Here is a 27605-nt window from a genome sequence, read left to right as displayed (position 1 = left end):
GAAAATTATACATTTATTTTTAGTAATATAGGATAGAACATAATTCTATAATAATAAAATACAGTAAATTTGCTTATCAATATTATAACTTTTATTTTCTCTTCTGAAGTATTTCTGCTTGTCTCATATTTCAGTTACTTAACCATTGTCGATGAATTCTGTTCCAAGTAAGTTTTATTTGTCTTTAGTTTCTCTCTTCTTGTCATAAAGAATAAAGTGCTTCCCTAAGAGGAAACCTAACAGAAGTGATTCACGCTACCTGCCTTAAAATAACTTTGTCTTTATACCTCTTTAAATTAGCTTGAAATATTTATTCCACCCATAATACATGATCACTTACAGAACATGAGAGTGAGACTGTGCATTCGGGGTTGCCCACAGCCCAGCTCATTTTGAGTAATTGTAAATAGTAATACCCATAATTTTTTTTTAATTGGCTAATGCTGTAATGTGGCATCTGTCATCAGCATCCTCATATAAACTCACCATTGCCACAGCATCTGTTCCATCACAAAATGTTCTATTTCTGTGTCTCGCACATTTAACTAGCAAGGAACAAATAGACTACTTTAAAATAAGTTGCCAGTGTTTCTAAATGAGAACGCAAAGCACATTTGCCAGAAAGGTACGTGACAGGGCAGGAATAAACTATGACTTTTGACTTGAAGGAATATAAAAACTGAATTAGTTATTTCATTTATATTTAAATAGTAAGATTGGACAATTAAATAATTGGAGAACAGTTGTCGGATTAAAAGTACTCTACTTTTGAACTCACTTTTTCTAATATATGAACACAGTTTTTATTTTGTATTTAAAATCTATTAATATATAGCAAAAAAGTGTGATAAATGTATTTGAAAGTGGGTAAATTTAGTCTAGTTAATGTTCTGTGCCAAAAACTTCTCCTGGGATATAATGAATTAGAATTAAAATATGAATTCAGCCATCCATCCATTCACTCATTCAATAAATATTGATTAATCACACTATGTGCCAGGATATAGGGACATAATAATTTCAAAAGCTGTGATAAAAGTACCTGGTTTCATGAAGCTTATGACAGAGGAGGAAGGCAGAGAGTAAGCAAATGCATAAAACACTTAAATAGGTGACTTCAGAGCTGTGAAGAGAAATAAAAAAGGCAATGGCAGAGGATGCTAGCAAAAGAGTGTGCTTCCTTAGAAAAGTGATTTAGGAATGGCTTCTGATTAAGTTGAAAATACCTCGTGAAGTTAATAATTAAAATCAAAGATTAAGAAAAATATATAAATAGTCACTTTTTTCCTTTTAAAGGAGCTGATTGGAAAATATCTTGAATGGATAAAATATAGTAAGTAATACACTAGGCAAAATCCAGTTAAAGAAGCCATCCCAAAGAAAGAGTCAGAAAGAACAAGATCTACACACACATTTTTCAGCTTCGTCTGCAATCCAAAGGCAAAATGTAAAAGTATGCAAGAAACCTCAAACAGGCCAGTCCCTAAGAGGGCTTACAATTGTGTATCAGTGCAAACATTATATTTTGATGCAAATCCTATACATAGCTTATATGGCAGTGGAGAAAAGATTGCTTTTTCTTTGTTTTAGAAAAAATGCAGCATAAATTATTACCATGATGTTAAATTATTCTTCTTTCTGCTTTACAACTATTTGAGAACATTTTGCATGAGCAAAAAATATGTCCAAATATAAAGGACACCCAATGTGTGAAAGGTAGCAGCATTTTGTGGCACATGGTGTGTCACTTGAAAGAAATGACATGATAAAATTCATTTTAGTCATTTATTTATTCAATTAATTTATCAAAACAGTATTCACTTCAGACTAAGGAGAATTGCCAAGAAAAGAGATTTATGGTTGTTATTGCTGTCCACCAAGCATAAGACATTACTATTATTTCATTATGTGTTTATTATTTTTAAAAGCCTAGAAAATAGTACTTTATTTGTAGAACATATATTCTATATAAGCAGGAAGCCATGTTACATTTAAAGTAAGACTTTAAATGATACTACATTAAACTAGAATTTATTTTCTGAACAAAAATCAATAGGTAAGTAAATCAATGGAACTATTTGAGCAAATGCAACCTCTTACTATAATGCTAATCTATGATCTTTTCTTTTAAAATATTTATAATCTAGTTATAACAATATCAAATATTAAAATATTGGTGAAACACTAAGAGGTAATGACTAGGTATTATATTTAAGACTGAATCTACAAACTGGTGTTGTGTGCATATTGTCGTGGTATCATACTCAGGAGTAAAAATGTATGGATTCTTCCTTTGCCACTGCAATGTTCTAACAGGGTAGGGTAATTTTAAGCCTCACTATCTACATGTTTAAAGAATGTAATATGTGAAGGAGAAATAGGGAAGGAGGGAGAGAGAGAAACAGACTCAAATGAGGTAACAAATAGGAAAAATATCTGAAACTCTTGATTTTGGTTTTCATCATCATTAACATAGTTTTTCAGAAGGGTACACTTATTGATTCATCTGTTTATTAAACAGATTTTTACTGAGCCCCAATTATAGGGCAGAAACTGCTTTGGACAGTGAACACATAGTGCAGAACAGACCAATCCCCTTCTCTGAGCGAATTTACATTCTACGGAAGGGAACATAAAATTAAATAAACAGACATACCAATATCAGATAGTTGTAAGCACTAGAAAAAAGCAAAGCACGATAAAGAGATGCAGCATAACAGCCTGTGGGAATACTATTTAAAATAGGGCTATTGAAATTCCAAGAAATGGCAATAAGAAATTTGAATGACATGAGAGTGCAAACTATAAGGGGTTTTAGGTTAAGAGCGTCTTGAGAAAATGGGTAAATAAGTGCTGGCATCCTAAGGGAAACAACTTGGTGTGTTGGAAACAGAGCATGAAGGACAATGTGAAGGGGACAACATGGTAGGAGATGAGATGGGGGCTTCATGTAGAGGGCCGGAAATGTAAAGAGGATGGAGATAGCCAGTAAAGGCTTAGAGAGAATGTGAACTTTACTATGATCTGGAAGGAATGTTGAGATTTGTGTGTGTATGGGGAGGGGGGGGGCAGGGGGGAGGCTGAGAGAGAGAGAGAGAGAGAGAAGCAGTGGCTCAATGATGAGATAAACATGAAAAATAAAATAAATAAAACAAACTTATTAAAATATCAAGGGTGGCTGGGTGAGGTATCTCATGCCTCTAATCCCAGTACTTTAGGAGGCCGAGGCAGGCAGAGCACTTGGGCCCAGGAGTTCGAGACCAGCCTGGGAAACATAGCGAACCCTGTCTCTACAAAAATACAAAAATTAACCAGGCATGATGGTAGGTGCCTGTATTCCCAGCTACTTAGGAGGCTGAGGCAGGAGAATCACTTAAACTCAGGAGGCCAAGGATGCAGTGAGCCGAGATCACACCATTGCACTCCAGCCTGGATGATAGAGTGAGACTGTCTCAAAAATAGATAGATAAATAATAAATAAATAATAAAAATAAAAATAAAATATCAATGGAGTTAGGGTCATAATGTGAACTATATTAAGACTGTGAAAGATAGGAATAATTTAGAAATAAGCTGCCATTAAATGGCTGTTTGACGTAAAAATTATCTTGGCAATATTAAGAAGGACGGTTTGAAATGATGAACACCTTAGATAACCTCATCTTAACCAAGCTATGAGTCAAAAGCAGCCAGAAGATGATGTATGAGCCAGAGTAGCTAACTGATTTAACACAGAGATGACTAAATCTCACTGGATTTGCACAATTCATTTATTTCTTGCTTATATCACAGAAGAAAGAGACCCTCATGGGGATGCTGCTTCACAGGGTAATCTGTGCTTCCAGGATTCTTCCAAATTGTAGCTTCCCCACTCTAAGGCCTTGAATTCCTCCCCTTTCAGCCAAATGATGGGAAGAGCATGGCTGGGGACGTTGGAGGGTGTTTATTGTGTAGTCCAGAAAGAGGAGCAAATCACTTCAGATTCAATAAACTGGATTTAAGTGGTGAGGCCACACATCACTAAAAATGCCTGGCAACCGTAGTCCATTTGTGTGACCAGGAACAAACAAACAAAAAAGAGAGAAAATACAGTCAGAGATATGCACACACATTAGATATAAGTAGCACAAAGAAAATATAGTCAAAATATTATAAATATTAAAAAGAACAGCATATACAAAATAAGTGGCACAAAGAAAACATAAAATATACAATATAGACACTATTTCTCTTATTTTAATATTTCTGTTATAATATAACCAAAAAAGTCATCATTATTATAAATAACATTTTGAACATCATTGGGGCAAAGTATAATAAAATGATCTTACTTTTATTAATGTATTAACTTTTGAATTGATTTTTAAATTTTCTGATTTTCTATCCTTTCATAGAGTAAATCAGTGTAGATCATGACATTTGGATAATAGGATTATTTTAATCACTTATTTTTTCTATGTTCCCTAAGTGAATAATGCTGTTACATTATGTCTTCATTCTAAAATGCAATATGTGTATTCATCTGTGTAATTTTTGTTTATTGAAAAACTTTGTTTCTTACCAACTAGAAGCAAAGAGAACTTAAGTTGAGAAGTCTTTTTTTTCAATTTAAAGCAGAGATGTTATGAAAACAGCAATTTGGTATCTGAAACTATTTAGAAGCATCAATGAAAGCAGAATTTTTAAATATATAATAATATTCTTTCCAGATAATGTAATAGTTTTAAGTCCAGAAAGGATGTTAAAATCACATATGGCCTTACAAATGTGACCAATGGACAGTGCTGTATAATGACCCATGAAAAATTAGTTAAATTTCCTGTGCCCTAACATAATTCATCATAGTAATAGCAGCAGTAATAGTAATTATAATAAAGCAATTATACTTTAAAAAATTTACTTTGACATAGAAGTCTATTCTCAAACACATGATGCATTAGATAGCAGCAATTCTTCTAATCTAGAAAACACAACACAGAATTACTGTTGATTGCATTCAAGAATACCAGTAATTAAACCTATTCCAGTAAAATAACTATTGGTTTTAAATCTTCTGTCATTCTCTCATATTCATACACGCTATCTTTCTCTCTCTCTCTCTCTCCATTACAATATACAAGTACACTTACGTAATGGTTAAAATATGATTTTTTTTTTTTTTTTTTTGAGACGGAGTCTCGCTCTGTCATCCAGGCTGGAGTGCAGTGGCACCATCTCGGCTCACTGCAAGCTCTGCCTCCTGGGTTCACGCCATTCTCCTGCCTCAACCTCCTGTAGCTGGGACTACAGGCGCCTGCCACCACGCCCGGCTAATTTTTTTGTATTTTTAGTAGAGATGGGGTTTCACCATGTTAGCCAGAATGGTCTCGATCTCCTGACCTCGTGATCCGCCTGCCTCGGCCTCCCAAAGTGCTGGGATTACAGGCATGAGCCACCAAGCCCCGCCTGATTTGATCTTATCATTAGTAAGTTCTAATATAGATTGATGTTTTAATGATGTTAATCTAAAGCAGTGATTTTTACAAGCATGCATTTTCCTTATATACTACCATAAGAATTCAGAATAAAATAAGTGGTCTCAAAAAGTTTCCAGGTTGATGATTAAATTGTAACAGTTTAAAGTGGCTAAGACATTGAAATTTTGCTTCTTTTAAATACTCGTATTTAAAAGTGGACATATTATGTCAGTCCTTTAATCACATCCAATGGGATCTAACTATCAATGACACTCAACACACAGCACCACAGATTTAAAATACATGAGTTGCACATGTTTGTTTTTGTCTTTAGATCAAAATTAAATCCCAATTCCTCCATAGGATTTTCAAATGACTGTATATAATACACTTAAATATTTTGTTTAAACTCTTTCATTGCTTCTCTATGATATAAAATATATGTTTAAATTTAAAATCATTTTTTAAAATTTCCTAGGAGCATAAGATAGTAAAAAGTAAAGAGTTTTTAAAAAGTTATTCTAGCTTGACATGTCTTTCCTATTACACATAAAAGTAACATACAGTTGATCAAAGATCTTCTATCATGTATCCATAGATGAATTTTATTTATCATGAGAACAATGCAGAGTGCAACATCCATTCCATTTCTTTATGAAAAAATAGGTCTGAGCATGAAGAATCTATATTCATATAAGTAAATAGATAGAACAAAAGTATTTGTGATAAGCATGTAACCGAATCCTTAAACCCTGAGTTTTGTACCAAAAATCGTTGCTGATTTCCCATTAAAATACATTTAATGAACTGTCTCTGATAAAATTATTAAATCACTAAATTTGGTTCTCCTTCAATTTTGTTGAAAAGTGTGATTTAAAAAACACCTGAAAAAGCATTTGTTTTCTAGTCATCAGAATTATTCATTTTCCCAATTCTGACATCAATATCTGGTTTATCCTGTGTGCATCTGTGTATGATTGTGTGTGTGTGTGTGTGTGTAAAACACTGGAAAAATTTACAGCTTGGCACAATACAAAGTAATTAGCCATTGAATAGATGAGAAGTATTCCTTTTTGGTATAAAGTGGGAATAATCTTAATTGAGAAAGAGAAAGGAAAGGAGTTGCCTGATTCAGAAGCCTTATCAGTCTTATAATATATACAGAAGTGAGGATTGGAAAATTAATTTCCTTAAAACCATCTGTGCTTTTATCTTATAACCCCAGGGTATGTATACTCCAGTTAGAAGACAACTGGTCTAAGGAGGCTATTTGTAAATTCTTTGGAGTGTTTGAATATACAGACATAGGTTCCCTGCTTCATCCCTTTTTGAGTGGTCAGCATGTCACAGATGGCATGCAATGTGTCTTGTGTAAAGTGTAGAAGCTCCACATCCTGGAGAAACTGACAGTGTCACACTTAATCTTTTATTTTCCTAAGCATTTGGTGACTTCTTGAAGTTTGCATGTGCATAGTTGAGTGGACTTACACACTATGATTTATAGTTTTAATTAAGCAAACTCACAAACTATACGAGTTGCTTACAAATATTTCTGCCAAATAAACATGTATTAAAAATAATATAAGATTTAATAATTCACATAAAATCAACCATCAAAAATTTGTAGCACTGATATTTATAAACCAAATTCATTATTTTTATAGGCCACACTATAAGACAAAAGCGATGACAGTCTAAATTGAAAGGATAAGAGGTCAGCAAGATTTTTTCTAAGTCATCAAAATGATCATTTGAAGTATAATTGCACATATTAATTAAAATAATTCTCAATAATCATTAACTCATCTGTATTTTGTGATGGTTTACAAAGTATATAATCCATAAGTAAAGAAGCAGAATTACACATTTCATAAATAAATAAACGTGTTGAAATATTTGTCCAAAATATTTCAATGATTGATAGAGTGTGTTATCAAAAAAAACTGTGGGGCAATAGGTCTATAGAAAAAGGTTGTGTTAACTTTTCCATATGATAGAAAGAACAGTAGGTCACTAATTGCCTGTCTGGAAATTTATCACATTATATCCTCTCTTTATAAGACACTAAATGAGAAAAGAGAAGAATCAGTGAGGTTTGGGAACAGTGTACTATTAATGATGCTTGTAACAATATAATCATGCTGCCCTACATCTATCAATAGTATAGGTGATATTATAAATTTCATAATAATTTATTTGTAAATAATTAAGGAAGTGACTTGTAAAACAACATAACATAAATGTTGGGAAAAAGTATGTAATTAGACACAATTTTCTTTTAGAATGAGTGGTTTCCCAGCAACATTCCTAGTCAATGTAAATTCCAACAGAACTTCCGAAGTATTTGAGTTGTGAACTGAACACATTTTTGTTTCAAGCAGGCATTCTTACCGCAGAGAAGCAGAGGACTGCAGAAACAAACAAATCTTTCCCAGTTTCACAAGCTGGCCACAGATATCTTCATCAATTCATTCACAAATACAGATTTTGCATTAAAGATTTTATGTGTGTGTCCTATAGAGCTAGGTAGGCATTCTGTTTAGCAATAATATTGCCATTAATTTATATGCTTTAGGTCAATGAACATTGAACAATGAATATTTTCCTTCCACTGCAAACCAAATTATAGACACTTAATTCCTAAAAGATCCATGACTTGAAATATTATTGTGTTCCAATGTAATCAGTGGGCACCTAAAATGTCTTTCAATAGAGTTCCTTATTTCAGATCTGAGAACTGCACACAGACAGAAAGGATACAAAGAAAGTGCAATACAACTCAAAGCAAAATTCACACAACTTAGAACACCTAAACACCTGAAAAGAACTGCAATAAACAGATAGATTTGTCTTCACTAATTAGCAGTTTCCAAGTTAGGGAAGATGTAAGCACGCCGGACTATAAGGTGGAAGCTGAAACTAACTAGAAAACAGTAAGACAATTCAGTTCTATAAAAAGCTATAGGAAAGAATTGTAAAAAATCGTGAAAATGGCTCTTCCTCAGGCATTGAGCTTTCTCAGCCACACTTGCAAACACAATTATAGCAATTTTAGCAGTAGTTGTGTGCAAATTTGAATACCAATTATACATATGTAAAATAGGTATACAGTTTTATTAGAAATTTAATGTATGTCTCTCCAAAATATGTTAACTAAAAGCTGCTTTTTACTTAAGTAAAATAGTGAAACCGATTTAAATGACTTATAACTAAAACAAGGTTTGTTTTTTGTTTTTTAATTTAGACTTCTAAATGAAATTGACACCTAGGATACCATCAAAACTTTTTCATTAAGCTGGAAGAAAAAAACTATTCCACTCAAGAGAAAAAAACTCAACATAAACCTAGATCCAAATTTAATTCTTGATATTATAGCGACTTCCATGATTTCCTTAAAGTAATGCTAGAAATATGAAGCAGTTTGTCTCAAATTATGTCTTCTTTCCCAATTTTGCTACTGTTCTAAAATAGAACATGTAAAAGAATGTTTAGTAAGAATGTGGAAAAGAGCAGAAAATGGGGGAAAATGCATTAATGTATGTATTTATATAAATAAATAATTTTGATATATTTTTGTGTTGCTAGACTAAAAATATGTATGTCTTCTAAATGCAAAAATACTTTAAAAATCACCATTTTATTTTCAGTGTTTTGCAAGTTAATATACCATGATCTTAGACTTTGAAAATATTCCTAACACATTCAAGGGTGTATGAGTTAGTCATAATTCTAATATAGAGTGGTTATAACAAAATTACAAAGTGTGATAATTTATGAAAAGTTACCTGCTTATGAATTGTGAGACAGATAATATTAAAATCATTTCAGGTCAATTCATAAATATGATTTGAATACATAACACATTTCAGATTATTCTAGAAATGACACTGTCAACAAATATGACTAGCACAAATTTTCTGCCACTAAAGACTTCATGAAGTAAAGGAAGATCATTGGAACCACCAAGTCCAACTGTTCCCTTGGAAGTAATAAAAATACACAAGAGTAGAGAGTCATTCATTCATTTTTTATTAAGATATAATTGACAAAAATTGTATATATTCATGGTGTTCAATAGGATGTTTTGATATGTATGCATTGTGCAATGGTTAAATAAAGCTAATTAACATAATCCTCAGCACATATTTCTTATTTTTTTGTGGGGAGAACATTTAAGACCTACTCTCTTAGCAATTTCCAAGTACATAATACATTATTATTAACTATACTCACAGTGCCAAACTTATTTATCCTGTGTAACTGAAACCTTGTACCCTTTGACGAACATCTCCCCTGCCCCTGACAATTCAGTCTTTAAGATTGTGGCCTATTGGTAAATACTTAAATAAGAAGTTATATTTGAGCAGATCATTGAAAAATGAGAAGAAACTCCACAGACAGAGAAGTCAAAGGATATTTCATTTTATCTCATTGTTGACACATTCATGTATTTTTCTCTCTATCCCTTCAAATATTATCTAAATAATTAAAAAATTTTCTATCCATCAGGTTTTGTTTGAAAGGTCATTTTCTGGGTGAGATCATGCATGAACCAACAATACTAAATAGCTTTTCCCTGTTACTCAGCTTGAGTATCTTAACTTTTTTTTTTTTTTTTAAGTTCTGGGATACATGTGCAGAATGCGCAGGTTTGTTACGTAGATACACATGTGCCATGGTGGTTTGCTGCACCTGTCAACCCGTCATCTAGTTTTTAAGCCCTGCATGCATTAGGTCTTTGTCCTCATGCTGTCTCTCCCCTTGCCCCCAATCCTGCGACATGCCCTGGTGTGTGATGTTCCCCTCCCTGTGTCCGTGTGTTCTCACTCTTCAACTCCCACTTATGAGTGAGAACATGCAGTGTTTGGTTTTCTGTTCTTGTGTTCATTTGCTGAGAATGATGACTTCCAGCTTCATCCATGTCGCTACAAAGGACATGAGTATCTTAACTTTTAATCAAGGAATTTAATCGTTTATATTTATTTCCATAACATTGTATTTGGTCCAATGTATAGTTTAATTTTATGTTTTTTTTGATTCGTTTTTGTTACATCTTTTGTTTTGCTGACTTATTTTCTTCTGTAATTTTTAAAATAGGGTCCTGATTTCAATTCAAGTACTTAAATATTTTGACATGTTCATTTAAAAAAGATGGGTTACATTAATATTAAAATTAAACTATTTTTACACTCTTTTACTCGTTTTCCTTATATTACTTTCCCAGCATTTTTCTTAGTTCATATTTAATATATCTTCAGGTTATAAATTTCATAAAGAAATAAATTTGTCTGTCCAGATTGTTTAGACTTAAACATTCTATTTTGGAGTTATAATTACAACAGTTATTTATATCCACTAACATCCTATCCCTCCCCACATAAGTTAGAGCTTTCATACATTTATATTAGTTTTTACCTGTTGAATAGCCTTCCTTAGTTGATATTTCATTCATCTCTTTGTGGTACAAAACAATTCTTCCAGAAATTTTTAAAGGAAAATATATTAGGGTTTTGTACTTTTGAAGTTATGCATGGCTCTGGATGTTTTCTACACATATGAACCATATGTTTGCTAAGAATAACATTTTTGAATTACAATTATTTTTCTACAAAATCTATTGACTTTGCTTCACTGTCCTCCTGCATTAATTGTTGCATAGAAAAAACATGAAACCCCATATACTCCTTAGAGAAAAGACACTATCAAAATTTAACAATAAAGTAAATGAAAAGTTTACTGAGAAACATTTGTCAAAGCTGAACTACTTCCTGCTTTGGGAAGGGAAGGGCAACAATATTTATCTTTTGCCAAACTTGAAATATTTCCACTGAAAGGTTTATAAGCATTTTAGGAAACAACTTGGCAATATTTAGTTAAGATTAAAATGTCCCTATTTACAATCCTTCAATTCAACAGTAAAAAAAAAATGGATCACTAAATTGTGCATCAATCTGTATGATCAGAATAGTGTAAAACTACACAAATAACCAAAAGATATACACATTTATTCACATGTATAGAAGCTGGAAATATAATGCTGAGATATAAAAACCAAATTGAAGAATGTTACATATAATATGTTAAGCATTTGCAAAATATTAAAAAAACACACAAACCATATTATTTTTGTTTTAGTTTTAATTTTATCAATGTTATACATGCATATAAGAATCACACAATTCTATATGGTTTTTGAGACAGTGATTCATTGTTCCTAACTTTGAAAGAAATATCCAAAATCAACAATTTCAAACATTTTAGCTGATTATCTGTGCATATAACACTATCTCTAAATACTATATACATATGTTAGCATCTCTATTTCTTACAATTTTATATATTATCTGTTGAATTTGCAATAATAAAAATAAGAACTTGATTTTCTTTCATTTCCCTCTACAACCATTCATTCCCGTCTTTCCATCACTCCTACTTATCAAAAGTTTTATTGCATCTACATTAACTATTCACATTATTACCATGTGAATGCTATTGATAGGTGAGTCAAGATCTAACTTATGATTGCTTGTCATTTCCTTAAAATATTGTTTTTCCTGAATAATTGTCTGGTTCTTTCCACTTATCACTAAAATAACCCCAAATTATCTGCCAATGATCTTAGATGTTTCTCCTCGCATTAATATGTACCAGGCATTCCATCAATTTTATCCTTTTATAGAAATATCTCCAATAGCCTCTGATCTGTTCAATTAGGACTGGTTGGTTGCATTCCATGCGTGAGGTACATATCTCATCTTGGGATCATCCTTGACAATATTCTAAGAATTCTGTTCTCTTTTATCTCAGTGCTGCATATACATTTTCTGAATCCAATGTGTTGTTACTTCTTGATTTACACTCATGTTTTGATACAGCATATCAACCAGTACCTTCCTAAAAAAGGCTGAATGAGCAATACTAAGAATATAAATGAATTCAATCTCCATACGTGTTGATAATTCATCTGGATGAAAGAGTCAAGGTTTAAACTATTTTTTTTTTCTGCATTTTGAAGACATTGCTCCATTGTGGTCTATTTTCCAGTCTTGCTGTAAAGTGTTACTGATTCTGACTCTTTCCACATTTCTTTCTTTATTTTGTTATGTTTGTCTCTCTCTTTCTGGAAACTAATAGCGTCTTCTCTTTTTCATTATTGTTCTGAAATATCATGTCCATGTGCCTTTGGGTAAGTTTATTTTTACCAATTTTCCTGATCACTTGGTATGGGGTATTGGCTTTCTTTATGCAAGCTTGAGCCCTTCATTTTTAGATGTTTTATTTCAATTATTTGACAGTTTTATTTCTTGCATTTCTGGAATTATTTTAGAATAATAATACTTCTAATATTTTGGCCATTTTACCAGTCCTCTGAATTTCTTACATTCCTTTGTTCTCAGGTTTTTGCCTCATTGTTTAATTTTCTAAAAGTACAGTTAAGTGTTTTATTTTTTCACTTCAATCATATATATTTAATTTTCAAAGGCCCTTTTCTTGTACTCTTCCATTTTTATGGCCATCTCATGACTTCAAAGCTGAGTAGGGATTTTCTTTTTTCCTGTTCTCTTGCCCTTTGTAATGTTGAATGTGTTTGTTTTAAAAATATTCTTGGCAATTCTGTAGTTCAGTGAACAAAGGCCATGCGTGGTAGAGACACACTTTCTAAGATGTCCACCATAATCTCACCTTCTGATATTATTATATTCTGGCTGACCCAAGGCCTTGCTTCTAATGAATTGAAGTTGGGCCTTGAGATGACTACAGTTCCATCCAACAACTTGATTTCAGCCTGTGAGAAACCATGAGCCACAGAACTCATCCATGCTGAGCCCAGTTTCTACATCTACAGAAATTGTGAATAATAAATGTTGTTTTTAGCAAATAAGTGTTGGGATAATTTGTTTTACAGCAACAGGCAATTAATATAGCATATGATATTTATGAAGCTATTCTTATCTTCATTCTGCCTGATATAAACTAGAACAGAGCTTTCTGTATTACTTTTCTTAGTGAATAAAACTGCAGTTTTGAATGGGGTAAGGCAGTAGGCAATCTAGTTAGTTAAGTGACCAGATTAGTGACCAGAATCTGGAAACAGGATACTTTTGAAACACACTTTCAACGAAACTCTGTTTTCATCCCATTATTCCACTATCAGGGTTACCTAATACCACACATTTCAGAGGTTTCTTGTGGAAAAAGTCAGGTTGCTATTTAGTCTTCCTACCTGTTGATTTAAGATTTAACTTTCTTGGTCTATTAGATTATTTACCACTCATTCATTTGCTGTTCAGCTTCCAAAATATTTTTCTGTCTTCTCTTTTCCTGTTCTTTTGCCGTTTGTAGTGCTGAATGTGTTTGTTTTAAAAATATTCTTGTTAATAACTTTAGTAAATTTTCAGGGGCCATCTAAAATGGATTCAATCCACTATATATAAAGCAAAAAGTAATCAGTACATTTTAATGATTTTAAACAAATATAAATTTAGTATTTATTCATGTGGGATTAAGAATACACTGATGTTTTCATATTAATCTTTGGAAGTGTTTTGTTTTTAATATTTTATTGTCAAATTTAGGTTTCAAAAACCTGATTAAAATATTTTATCTAGGTAATAAGGTTCTTGGGTTTTCATAGTATAATAATATTACTTCATGATAATAAACTAAAAGCCATGAACACATCTAAAAGGGGAAGATATAAGAGGACTTCAAGTAAAACTCATAATATGAAATAATTAAGATGGCTGATTTTTATTTTGCAAGTGCTTTTTCTTTTTTTCCATAAAATAAACACTTTGCACACAAATAAATATATTTCCCCACAGTATGCTTGTACAAACCAAGTCACAATCCTATGCCCACATGTGTGATGATCTTTAAAAAGCGATCTGTTTCCATTTTCTTTAGACCAGCTACCTGACATTTCAAAAGATAAGAAGTACTGCTCGGCTTGAATGAACTCAAAAATATCTCTGCAAATGTATTTGAACACATCTTTTGAAATGTCAATTTGGGACCAAGTGATATGAGTTACTCATTCAAATACTGGAATATAAGTGTTAGGAGTGTGGAACAATTTTTAAAGAGATAGAATAAGATTGAAGAACATATTTTGAATAAATCAATTAAGTAAAAGTTGTGTGGTTACTACTTCATTAAGATAATTATTTCTCTACTCTTAGGATGCTTAAAGTTTAAATATAGAAATATGTTACATCATTTATATATGAGGATATTCATTTGATATTTGAATTTTCCTCTTTTATTTATTTAATATTCTATTGGCTATTTCATTTCACTGTTTTTTTGTATATATTGAATATTTTTGTGTGTTCTAATATTTTCTTTTGAAGGAAATTTATTATATTATTGGATCCAATTCATCTTGTTCTTGTTTGATAAGTTGAGGGTGCAATGGGCATGGCTATAACCACATATCATCAAAAATTGATGGTGAAAATGACTTACCATACAGCCTAACAGTTGCACTCTTGGGCATTTATGTCACAGATATGAAGACTTATTTTCACAAAGAAACTTGTACACAAATGTTCATAGCAGTTTTATTTGTAACAGCCCAAAGCTGGAAACTACCCAAATGTCCTTAAATGAGTGAATGGTTAAATATGCTGTGGTACATTCATTCTATGGAATACTAATTAGCAATAAAAAAGAATGAGCTATTATTGACTTACAAATAACTTGGATGAACCTCACACAAACTATACTGAATGAAAAAGCCAATTTCAAAAGGATACAAACTACATCATTCCATTTATGTAACATTTGTGAAACAGCATAACAATAGAAATGGAAATTGGTTAGTGATCTCTAGGTGCTAGGGATAGTGGGCAGTGGATGTGTGGGTATAAAGAGATAACATGAGGGAATATTGTAGTAATGGTACAGTTGGGTATCCTGAGTTTCCTGATGGTTACACAAGGGTACCCATGAAATAAAATTACATAGATTCAGGTACACACACACACACACACACACATTCACACTTACACATGAGCACTTTATAATATGTGAAATCTGAATAGGCTCTGTAAAATGTGCCAATGTCAATTTCTTGGTTTTGATTTTTAATTATAAATGTGTATTATGATAACATTGAGGGAAATTTGAGAAAGTGTACATGGGACTTCTTTATACATTTCTTTGCAACATCCAGCTAATCTATAATTATCTCAAAACAAAATGTTTACAAAAAAAATCACTTGATGTAAAATAATTCTGATAGGCAAAACATTAAGAGAAAATGCAATATTGCAAACGTTTACTTTGTGGAATCTAATTGTTTTGAGGTTACTAATGTTTACTTCTTCTCACCTTCTATTGGGGGCCAACGAAAGCTATTGTCCTTAGACTTGTTCACTGTGGATGTCTGCAGGAAGGCTTCCTGTACATGCCTATGAAAAAGGATTCAAAAGTGTTTTTTTTTCCTTTTTTTAAATATTGAAGGGAGTATTTCCATTCTGCCCTTTGCTCTCTTTGATTATTTTTCATAAACATAAAATGAAATTTGAAATTACAATGCAAATAATACTAGGAATATGTTTTGTAAAGGTAAAAAAGGAAGATTTTTTTCCTAGGTTTTTGTTTTGTGGAAAATTTAGTTAATTTTTAAATATGTTTTTATAAAATAACTCATACACCATCATTTTCATAATTTAGTAATTGTCATCTAATAACCAAGTTCAGAATTAACAATAAGAACTATTGATGGATTTCAAACCATGACTTTGGTTTGTGATTTATGATTCACGTTTAAGCCCTTTATTAAGTCATGTACTTCCCCCACAGTGGTCATCAGCACTGATGATTAAATACATTTTTAATTATCAAACATAAAGAACTGATAGTATCTTTGATGGAATCAACCAGTTTTACTACAAACCATCACTTACATTTTTATATTTGCCTCACATCCTTTTATCACTTTACGAAAATTATGTATTTCTTCTATCCACATAGCTTTCTGTGTTTGTATATAATTTTATAAATTTAACAAGTAGGAAAGGAAGGGAAAAAGTATTATTTCAGGGGCCAGTTTCATTTTTGGGTCAGTATGAATAAAGAAAGTTTCTTATGGATTTTTTTGAATTATGATTGTTGAGGATCTGTGGGCAGAGTCTCCATGAGAGAGATTGGGCAATATATTAGTCTATTTTCATGCTGCTGATAAAGACATATCCAATACTGGGAAGAAAAAGAGGTTTAATGGACTTACAGTTCCACATGGCTGGGGAGGCCTCACAATCATGGCAGAAGGCAAGGAGGAGCAAGTCACATCTTACATGAATGGCGGCAGGCAAAGAGAAGAGTGAGCTTGGGTAGGGGAACTCTTGTTTATAAAATCATCAGATCTCATGGGACTTAATCAGGCAGAGAAGGGTTTAACCAAAGACAATGCTTTGGGAAATAAATATTCTTCTCAGTTGAGAAGATAAGAGTTTAGGTGCTTGAGGAAGAGGAAGATAGAAAATGGTTTTCAAAGACGAAAAAAGCCAGGAAAATGGACATTAGAAAACCATTTGATGAAAAAAAAATTCTCTGTGACATTTTCTTAGTCTGTTCTCATGCTGCTAATACATACCTGAGACTGGGTAATTCATAGAGGAAAGAGGTTTAATTTTCTCACAGTTCCACATGACTGGGGAAGCCTCACAATATTGGTGGAAGTTGAATGAGGAGTAAAGTGAGTTCTTACATGGTGACAGGAAGTCAAGAGAGCTTTTGCAAGGAAACTCCCATTTATAAAACCATCAGATCTCATGAGACTTATTCACTACCACAAGAACAGTATAAGGGAAACCACCCCCATGATTCAATTATCTCCACCTGGCCCCACCATTGACAGGTGGAGATTATTACAATTGAAGGTGAGATTTGGGTGGGGACACAGACAAATCACATCATTCCACCCCTGGCTCCTCCCAAATCTCATGTCCTCACATTTCAAAACCAATCATGTTTTCCCAACAGTCCCCAAAAGTGTTAACTAATTTCAGCATTAAGTCAAAAGTGCACATTCCAAAGTCTCATCTGAGACAAGGAAAGTCCCTTTCACTTATGAGCTTGTAAAGTGAAAAGCAAGTTAGTTGTTTCCTAGATACAATGGGGGTACAGGCATTGGGTAAATATAACTCTTCCAAATGGGAGAAATTGGACAGAACAAAGGGGCATCAGGCCCCATGCAAGTTCAAAATCCAGTGGGGCAGTCAAATCATAAAAGCTCCAAAATGATCTCCTTTGACTTCATGTCTCATATCCAGATCACACTGATGCAAGAGGTGAGTTCCCAGGGTCTTGGGTTACTCTACCCCTGTGGCTTTGCAGGGTACAGCCCCCCTCCTGGATGCTTTAACAGGTTGGCATTGAGTGTCTGCAGCTTTTCCAGGAACACAGTGCAAGCTGTCAATGTATCTACCATTCTGGGATCTGGAGGATGGAGGCCCCCTTCTTTCAGTTCAACTAGGCAGTGCCCCAGTGGGGGTTTTGTATGGGGATTCATACCCACATTTCCCTTCTGCACTGCCCTAGCAGAGGTTCTCCATGAGGGCTTCCCCCGTGTAGCACACCTCTTCCTAGACATCCAAGTGTTTCCATACATCCTCTGAAATCTTGTCAGAGGTTCCCAAACCTCAACTCTTGACCTCTCTGCACCTGCAGGCCCAACACCACATGTAAGCTGCCAAGGCTTGGGGCTTGCATCATCTGAAGCAGGGACCTGAGCTCTAGGTTGGCCTCTTTTAGCCATGGCTGGGATGCAGGGACCAACTCCAGAGACTGCAGAAAACAGCAAGCCCTTGGGTCCAGCACACAAAATTATTTTTTCCTCCTTGGCCTCCCAGCTTGTGATATGAGGGGCTTCCATGAAGACCTCTAACATGCCCTGTTAGAGGCGAATGTCTTGGTGATTAACATTTGACTCCTCATTACTTACGTAAATTTCTGCAGCTGGCTTGAATTTCTCTCAGAAAATGGGTTTTTCTTTTCTATCACATCAACAGACTGCAAATATTCTGAACTTTTATGTTCTGCTTCCCTTTTAAACATAAGTTCCAATTCCAAATCATATATTTGTGAATACATAAAACTGAATGCTTTTAACAGTACCCAAGTCACCTCTGGACTGCTTTGCTGCTTAGAAATTTCTTCCACTAGATGCTCTAAATCATCTCACAAGTTCAAAGTTCCACAAATCTCTAGGGCAGGGGCAAAATGCTGCCAGTCTCTTTGCTTAAACTTAGCAAGAGTCATGTTTGCTCCAGTTCCCAACAAGTTCCCCTTCTCCATCTGAGACCACCTCATCCCGGACTTTATTGTCAATATCACTATCAGCATTTTTGTCAAAGCCATTCAACAAGTCTCTAGGAAGTTATAAACATTCCATCTTCCTGTCTTCTTCTGAGCCCTCCAACTGTTCCAACCTCTCTGCCTGTTACCCAGTTCCAGAGGCGCTTCAACATTTTTGGGTATCTTTACAGAAGCACCACACCCCTGGTACCAATTTACTATATTAGTCAGTTTTTACCCCACTAATAAAAACATAAAGGAATTTATAAAGGAAAGAGGTTTAATTGACTTACACTTCCACATGGTTTGGGAGGCCTCACAATCATGGCTGAAGACAAATGAGGAGCAAAGTCAAATCTCACATGGCAGCAAGCAAGAGAGCTTGTGCAGGTGAACTCCCATTTATAGATCTATCAGATCTCGTGAGACTTATTCACTACAATGAGAATAGTATGGGGGAAACCACCTCCATGATTCAATTATCTCCACCTGGCCCTATCCTTGAGACACGGAGATTACTACAATTCAAGGTGAGATTTGGGTGGGGACATAGCCAAACCACACCAATCTCACACCATAAAACTTTAGGAAGTGAAATTTCAATTTTTACTAATTCTGTGATATAGTCTTCTCCTCTTTTCACATATTTCAAGAAAATTAACTATTCATAACCTACACATATGATAGCGAAGAAGAGGAATGTTACCAATTATGAGGTAAACCAGTGTGGAAAGAAAATGGAATTAGAACTACAGTCAATAAAGTTAGTGTGCTGGAAAATTTAGTGGGAAAATGCATTGAAACATGAGGTACACAACAGAAATCATGCATCCTAGGAATTTTGGAAGACTTGTAAATGTTGTGGATACATTTTCTGTGGACAGAAAATGATTAAGTCAAATAAGTATTGTACCTAACTCTTTTTATAATAGGGGCAAGAGGGTAATTAAAGTAATTTTTAGGCCGGGCGCAGTGGCTCACGCCTGTAATCCCAGCATTTTGGGAGGCCGAGGCGGGAGGATCACGAGGTCAGGAGATCGAGACCATCCTGGCTAACACGGTGAAACCCCGTCTCTACTAAAAATACAAAAAATTAGCCGGGTGTGGTAGCGGGCGCCTGTAGTCCCAGCTACTCGGGAGGCTGAGGCAGGAGAATGGCGTGAACCTGGGAGGCGGAGCTTGCAGTGAGCCGAGATCGCGCCACTGCACTCCAGCCTGGGCGACAGAGCGAGACTCCGTCTCAAAAAAAAAAAAAAAAAAAAAAAAAGTAATTTTTCTTTACTATTTTTTGGTAATATAAAGTTACTAATTATTACCATCTTTGTACTCTCTTCTGTCTCTCCTTCTCTTCCACCTTTTTATTTTTTTCTTCCCTGTTCTCTCTCTCTCTCTTGTGTGTGTGTGTGTGTTTGTGTGTGTGTATTGATGACTGCATATACATTTTCATCTAAGATTTGTTTTTGTTTTTGTTTTTCAAGACAGAGTCTTGCTCTGTCACCCAGGCTGGAATGCAGTGGCAAAATCTTATTTCACTGTGACCTCTGCCTCCTGGGTTCAAGCGATTCTCCTGACTCAGCCTCCTGAGGAGCCAGGATTACAGGTGTCTACAACCACACCCAGCTAGTTTTTGTATTTTTGGTAGAGATGAGGTTTTACCAAGTTGGCCAGGCTAGTCTTGAACTCCTGACCTCAGGTGATCCACCTGCCTCAGCCTCCCAAAGTGCTGTGATTACAGGCATGGGCCACTGAGCCTGGCTTAGGATGTTTTTATTTTTACTCATGTTTTTCTATTGTTATATGTTATAAATGCTAATTATTGAAAATGCAAAAATTAAAAATATAAAAATAAATTCAATTTATCCCACCAGTCATATACAAATGTGAATAATGGGATATAGCTCTTCAAACTTAAAAAAGTTTGCTTTTATTAGCCAGGCTTTATATATATATATGTGTGTGTGTATATATATATACACACACACACACACACACACACACACATATATATATTTATATACATATGTTTATTTATAAATTTATATATAAATATATATATAAAATATATATATTTGTATATATTTATATATATCTCTCTTTATATATCTTTATATATATGTAAAGATAGCTTTAAATATCAAAGTGAAAGTATTATATATATATATATTCTCATATTTAAATGGTCCTCCTGGGCTTTGTGGCTCACGCCTGTAATCTCAGTCTTTTGGGAGGCTGAGGTGGGAGGATGGTTTGAGGCCAGGAGTTCAAGACCTGCCTGGACAAAGTGAGATACCCATCTCTATAAAAAATTTAAAAAAATTAGCCAGGTATAGTACTGCAAGCCTGTAGTGCCAGCCCAGGAGTTCAAGGTTACAGTGAGCTCTGATTGCACTACTGCACTCCAGCCTGGTGACAGAGTGTCTGTCTCAATAAATAAATAAATAAATAAATAAAATTTTTAAAATGATCCCATAATATTCTATTATATAAATATACTATAATATATTAACCATTTCGTATTAAAGATTAGAACACTTCTGGTTTTTATCAGTTAAAAATACCACTATGTTTAATCTTTTGGCCCATTTTAATTTACTCACAATATAAAAAATGTAATTGCTAGATCTGAAACTATGCATACCTTAAAAGCACTTGATGTTATTTTAAAACAACGATAATAAAGATGTTTCAGATTAACATCCCACGAACAGCATATCAGAGTACATGAGTTTATCACTGCTAACTTTTAGCTGGAAGCTTGTTCAATAGACAATGAACAGTGGTATCAAAAGCCTGGGCTGGACTCCCGGCTACTAGGGAGGCTGTATTCCTGGCTACGTGGGAGGCTGACATAGGAGTATCACTGCAGGCCAGGAGTTCCAGGCTGCAGTGAGCTATGATCCAGCCATTGCACTCTATACACTCTAGCCTGGGCAACAGAGGGAGACTCTGTCTCAAAAAAATAAATAAATAAAAAAATCCTAGTTGCATATGTACCCCTTTATTATTTATGCTATTGAAAAAAATTGATCAGTTTTCCCCTAGCAAATTATAGCAATTATTTTATAAAATATGTTTTTGTAGGAGTAGATTAGCTATCAATTTCAAGTCACATATCAACTGAGATTAATAAACAGTTCTCTGAATGTGAAAAATATTACAGCTTATTTTTCACATATTTGCAAATACTTTTGGAGTCCAGAAAACAGGTTAGAATAGGTAGAATTTTAACTCTAACAGTAGTGTTATTTCAATTTTCTGACTCTTATGTCCACACATTTCCTACTTTTTCAGTCCCAAAAGTCCGTATTATCCCAGCATTCACAACTTCATCTGATGCCAGTTATCCAAGATGCTGGATGCAAACAATAACCAAAGAATTTCCTGGCAAGTCAATTTGGCTCATCATAAACTCTAGTAGCCTTGGCCTCATGCTATGCTGCAACATCTGCAATCCTAGCACATTGATGAAAGAATGATTAAAGAAGAAACCACCACCATCAACAATCACCATGTCTCTTCGGCTCACTGTAATTCATCTGAACATCTTATTCTTTCTTCTTTGCTACATAACTTCCTATTAATAATCACGAACAGTGTGACAACTTTATTCTGTTCTCAATATTGATAGAAAAGAGATAAAAAGAGTGCTGATTGTGATATGGACATCTTTAATAAGTGAAATTTCTGATAAGTAAGCATTTCATGTATTGTTAAGTTATAAAATACTTTCTATATTTATATCCTCATTAATTTATTAAAATGGTATTAATGCATTTTTTAATTGAACACGCATCTGATAACTTGTTAAATTTAAAAATAATTTAACTTCACATTAATAGGTAGAAATGTGAGTCATTAGCAAAAAGAAGAGATTCTAGGACTTCAGGAAAAAAATGCTTAAGAAATAACACTAAACAAAAAATATTTGATGTTTTATGTTCATTAACTTAAGACATAATACACACAATTATGGATACATTACAATATTATCTATGTTGTGAACTTCAAGAGTTATTGATTGCTTAAATATATTTTAGTCAATATTTACCTTTGAGATCAAAATAATTAATATCACTGTACATCTATCCTCTTTATAAAATTATGAATCTGAAAACTTAACTTCTTTAGGGTATCTTATCGTTTCATTAGGGTATCATATAATTTCTCATCTAAAATCTACCATGGGTTAAAATTTTGCTTTGCTTGTATTTTTCACCAAATTCCCCCAAAGAAAGAATCTAGCTAAGTGACAAAAATATTTAAAACTGATTTGTAAAAAATTGCTACAATTATATGAGGAAAAATGTTCTTGAGTTTATGGAGTTTTATTTAAATTGTTTTAGTAAAGACTGTTGCTTATATTTTTTACCATGGTTTAAAGGGGCTGTGTGCCATGTGTTGAGCTACTATTATCTGACCACAGACGTCAATCTTGTTATTTCCTTGATTTGGTCCATTGTCTTCATTGTACACAAACAAATCGTGTGCATGTTTTTATGTACACGAAACAGTATTTTTCTTTAAGTAATGCTTGCTTATGATCCTTCATTTCTTGTTTTCTCCTATTCATTTATCTGACCTATACTACCTATTTGGAAAATCGCTTTTAGACTTAAACCTGAAAATTAAAATATTTTCATGTATTCATTGCTCCCATTCATGCAGAATTTTGGGGTAGTTCTCTTTTTCTGATCAACCTGGCTATCAAATTTATTCTTTACTTCTGTTATGTAGGACTTTTCTCCAATAGACTCAATCCCATGGGTGAAAGTTTCCGTGTCTTACCAGCTGTGAGACTACTTGGATCACCTAATCTCATTTCCTCAGTTTTCTCATCATTAACATGGGGATAATAATTACACCAACATCAGGGTTGAAGTGTCAGCATTAAGTAAAATAGTTAAGGTAAAAACGTCACATAATGCTTTACACATAGCAAATCTTCAGGAAAAACTAGCAAGGCTTTCTGTCAAAATTGCTTTTCTTGAATCTTTGAATGCAGGGAAGATACATTTGGGCTTATTGATACACTGAACCTAACTATAATATTAAAACTTTTTATGAGGTTAGTAAACTTTCAAGGCACCTTATCAAGGTTACTTTGAATATCCTTCCTTCAGGAATACTTAGTACTGAAGTCACACAAAAGCACAGATCTTGGGAGACACTAACCACTTGCATCTTTTAAGGTCATAGTAGCTATTCCAAGAAATGAGAAATGCAAACAATAGGGCACCAAAACCAATATTGATGGCATGGCCTTTTGTTGTGCAAAACAATAAGTATAAAAGAAAAATATAAACCAAATCTAGTTTTCATGCAATGCCATGGTTCAATGTAATTGTGTTAAAATAAAAAGTATTAATATGCCAAGACATCAACACGTGGCCAAATGTGAATCTCCTTTGAGCTTGAAGTCCAAGTCAAACCACCATCATTACCTTTTCTGATTAACCCTCCTTAGATCAAAAAATGATTTTCATTGTTGTCATCAGAACTTCATGAACTTTACAGCTTCAATGAACTTTACAGCTGTTCATTCTTTCAGAGATGTGTAATCAATATTATTAAAGAACTATGAGAAAGATGGCTGCAATTTAAGGTGGAGAATACAAAGAATTTTGCTTTCTGTATTCTCAATCATGTAACTTAGCTATGTTGGGAGAAGATAACACAATTATGCCCATGCTGACCAGCGTCCCAGGTTTTCTTTGACAAACCAGATTTAAATTCTGTCTTTCTTCTCTTTAGATATAGTTAGACAATTTTATTCCACCTTTGATTCAGAAAATATTGGCATTGTGTTGATTTATGTAAAGCTATGAGTACTTTGAGGAGGAGAACGAAGTAACTTTTTTGTTGAGAAAAGAAGAATTTAATCTTGAGTGCCTGGCTCTCCTAGGACACTGGGTATGATTTAGATGACAGTAGTGTGTGTGTGTGTGTGTGTGTGTGTGTGTGTGTGTGTTGTGGTGGGGTGAGGTGGGGGGCGGATAAATATTTCCAGAGGTGGGATTTCTTTAGAATGGAATGACAGGTAGAAAAATCAGAGAGGCATGAGGTAATTTAGGGGAAAAATGAGTTTAACATTGTAGTATAGAATAAAAAATATATTTAAACCATTTGTAGTAGAAGGCTTTAAATTCTAGGCTGAAAAATTTGGTTATTTTGTGGCCAATAGTAAATAATTGGAGATAGATGAACAGGGTAGTCACATAGACATGCAACCAACGGAAGGGAAGAAGGCTTGAAGATTGTCTTCTCCAAATTCCTCATTTTACTGATGAGGATACTGAAGCCTGTAGAAGTAAAGGAACGAGCTCAAAGCCCCATTAAACTCATATTAGTTTTACTACATATTTCTGGGCTTTAGATATCGTAGTTGGTATTCTGCTTAAATATTTTTAAGTAACTCAATTATAATTGTAGGGGAGAGGGGAGCTTACATTTTGAATGGTCCTCAAATAGAAACATAAATTTTAACTTTCCATCTCACCCGTGAGGCTTTTTGCCAAACTGAGAAACTGATTCACTGCTCTTCCTCTAAATTTGCTTCATCCATTCGGAGCACATTATAATAAAAAGAACCTGCTTTCAGACTTCTGGTGCCAAAACATTTCAGGAAAAAAAGAAATCAAAGATGAGCTTTCACCTCTTTACAAAATTGCATCACTGCTGCTTTATTCTTTCATCTTTATTGCAAATATTTAAACAAAAAACAAATGTCACCAGCTAAAGATAGTGAGGAATTTATTGTGGAGACAAACAAGGCTCTAGATATGTCAAAACTGGTGAGCTGACTCACCTTTATTAGGTGTGAACGGAAGCCCAAGCTTTACAGTGGTTACTATACATGAAATTAAATGAGATATCTTTCTTCTATAATCAGACCTTTCTGTAAGTGCTTTCTCTGCAGCCTTTTGTTTTTAAATGCCTGTGTACTAAAATTGTCCTTCAAATGTATCTCTTTGAAAGAATGAATAAATCGAGGGAATATACTAAAGCAAGAAAAGACATAATAGAGGTGAAGCATAGAAAGTTGATTGTTTTAACTGTTTTTTTTTTCACTGTTTGTAAATCTCCCAATGCTATAGGGCACAATCAATTAAAATAATTAATTTTTCAAAACCCTGAATTTATTTGACCGAGGCTAATTTCACTGGAATGTATGTCGTGTATCTGCATATCGTCCAATTTCTAAAATACTAAAACATTTTATCAATGAAATAAATGAATTAAATCGCCACCTATGAAAGTACCTGGCACACTACAAATCTCAATAGTCAAATTCTTTGACTCCTTGAAATCTCAAACAGAGCTACCGCCTCTTTATTTACTCTACAATTTACTTCTGAAGAAAACATTGAGTAATTATCCTATTCCAGCCATCAAAGTATGGGAAGAACAGAAAGAGTCAGCAGCGGTAAGCGGTATGGGTGTTTAAGAAACTAGCCACGGACCAGCAGAGCCTGCGAATGCGCGGCGATGTGACGACAAGGTTGTTGATGCCACAGCCTGTGAGGGACAGCAGGCAAGATGCCAAACGGAGGGACCCGCGTCTCTAAGGGCCGCCGGCTGAGCTGGGGCTGATCTCCCTTCCGCCTCCCGGGAACCCCAGTCCTCGCCAGCGTCGTCAGGATTCCTTGCCCTAATTATCCCGGGAGGAAGACGCGCCTTTCCCGGAGACCGCTAGGCAACACTCACCAAGGCAGCCTCCAGATTACTTCCCTCCGTGGGTGTGTGACTTCGTCGAAGCAACTCACACTTACAGTAGATTCTCACTGGCGAGGCTGCGAGCAGCAGAGGGCGGGGGAGCTGGGAAGAGGAGGAGGGAAGGAGGGTGGGAGGCGCTGAGCTGGGAGGCAGAGGAGACGCCGGAGCTCCAGACACAGCAGGAGCGCGCCTTGGCGGTGCAGTTTCAACCTCGACTTCGCAGCCGCGCACACACCGCCTGCTCCCCGAGCAGCGGGAACCGCAGCAGCTCCTGGGCCGCCGCAGCGCAGCTCCGCGCTCCTACCGGCCGGCAGCCGTCAGTCCCTCCCCTCTTCAGCACTCAGCCCGCAGCTATTTCCTTCTGCCAGTCTCTTTGAACTCTGGATCTTTGCTTTTGCTCGCTGCTCTCCTGTTTTTCATTCTCCACATTTTCTCAAGTCCTCTTTCTTTATCCTTAGCCACCCTGCTTTTTTCCTCCTTTTTTAAAAAATCGGAGATTTCGTCTTAAAATGATTTGCCTTCCTTACCTTCGTCCATTTCAACACTGAAGGCTGCAAAGAACCTTCACCTTTCCCCTAGTGGTATTTAAAAATTCTCAATCCGTAAAAAGTCTTTTTGAAAGGCAAAGGAACAGGACCCAGGACCCTCTCGACACCCTTGATCCGAGTCCAGATCTGCACTAGCAACCAGAACTAATATTTCATTTAACCCCACCAAAGGGGGAGGCGAGAGGAGCCAGAAGCAAACTTCAGCTGTCTCAGCCGGATCCGTGGTTCCTACATTTGGAGGAGCCGCGTGCCAGAAGGCGTAGGACCCCAAGGGGGGACAAGGAGGACTCCCGAGTCTCCCTTCGCCGCTCTGCGAGGCCGAAGCGGTGGACTGAGCCGCTCGGGACAGCGGCACCGGAGGAGGCTCGGAGAAGATGCGGGGCTCGGGGCCCCGGGGTGCGGGACGCCGGCGGCCCCCAAGCGGCGGCGGCGACACCCCCATCACCCCAGCGTCCCTGGCCGGCTGCTACTCTGCACCTCGACGGGCTCCCCTCTGGACGTGCCTTCTCCTGTGCGCCGCACTCCGGACCCTCCTGGCCAGCCCCAGCAACGAAGGTAGGGAGATGGGGGTGGGGACCGTGGC

General features: G+C 35.1%; 1 protein-coding gene and 1 long non-coding RNA gene across 13 annotated transcripts in view; one reads left to right on the top strand and one right to left on the bottom strand.

The window, feature by feature from the left end:
• Positions 1-3752: 3752 nt before the first annotated feature.
• EPHA5-AS1 (EPHA5 antisense RNA 1) lies at positions 3753-27178 on the bottom strand. Its single transcript, NR_034138.1, has 4 exons — positions 26466-27178; positions 25258-25363; positions 15792-15871; positions 3753-4030 (listed from the first exon to the last, which is right to left on the bottom strand). It is a non-coding gene; the product is annotated as an EPHA5 antisense RNA 1 (long non-coding RNA).
• Positions 26650-27605, top strand: part of EPHA5 (EPH receptor A5) — a 350923-nt gene continuing 349967 nt past the window's right edge. For all 12 annotated transcript variants that reach the window (NM_001437320.1, NM_001437321.1, NM_001437313.1 and 9 more), the window contains exon 1: positions 26650-27577. In NM_001437320.1, the coding sequence (NP_001424249.1) occupies positions 27397-27577 (181 nt within the window). In that variant the 5' untranslated portion in view covers positions 26650-27396. The remainder of the gene's footprint in view (positions 27578-27605) is intronic.

This window comes from Homo sapiens, chromosome 4 (genome assembly GCF_000001405.40).
Source record: "Homo sapiens chromosome 4, GRCh38.p14 Primary Assembly".
NCBI lineage: Eukaryota > Metazoa > Chordata > Mammalia > Primates > Hominidae > Homo > Homo sapiens.
Note: the sequence above shows the minus strand (reverse complement) of the source record. Positions and strands in the feature narration are given on the sequence as shown.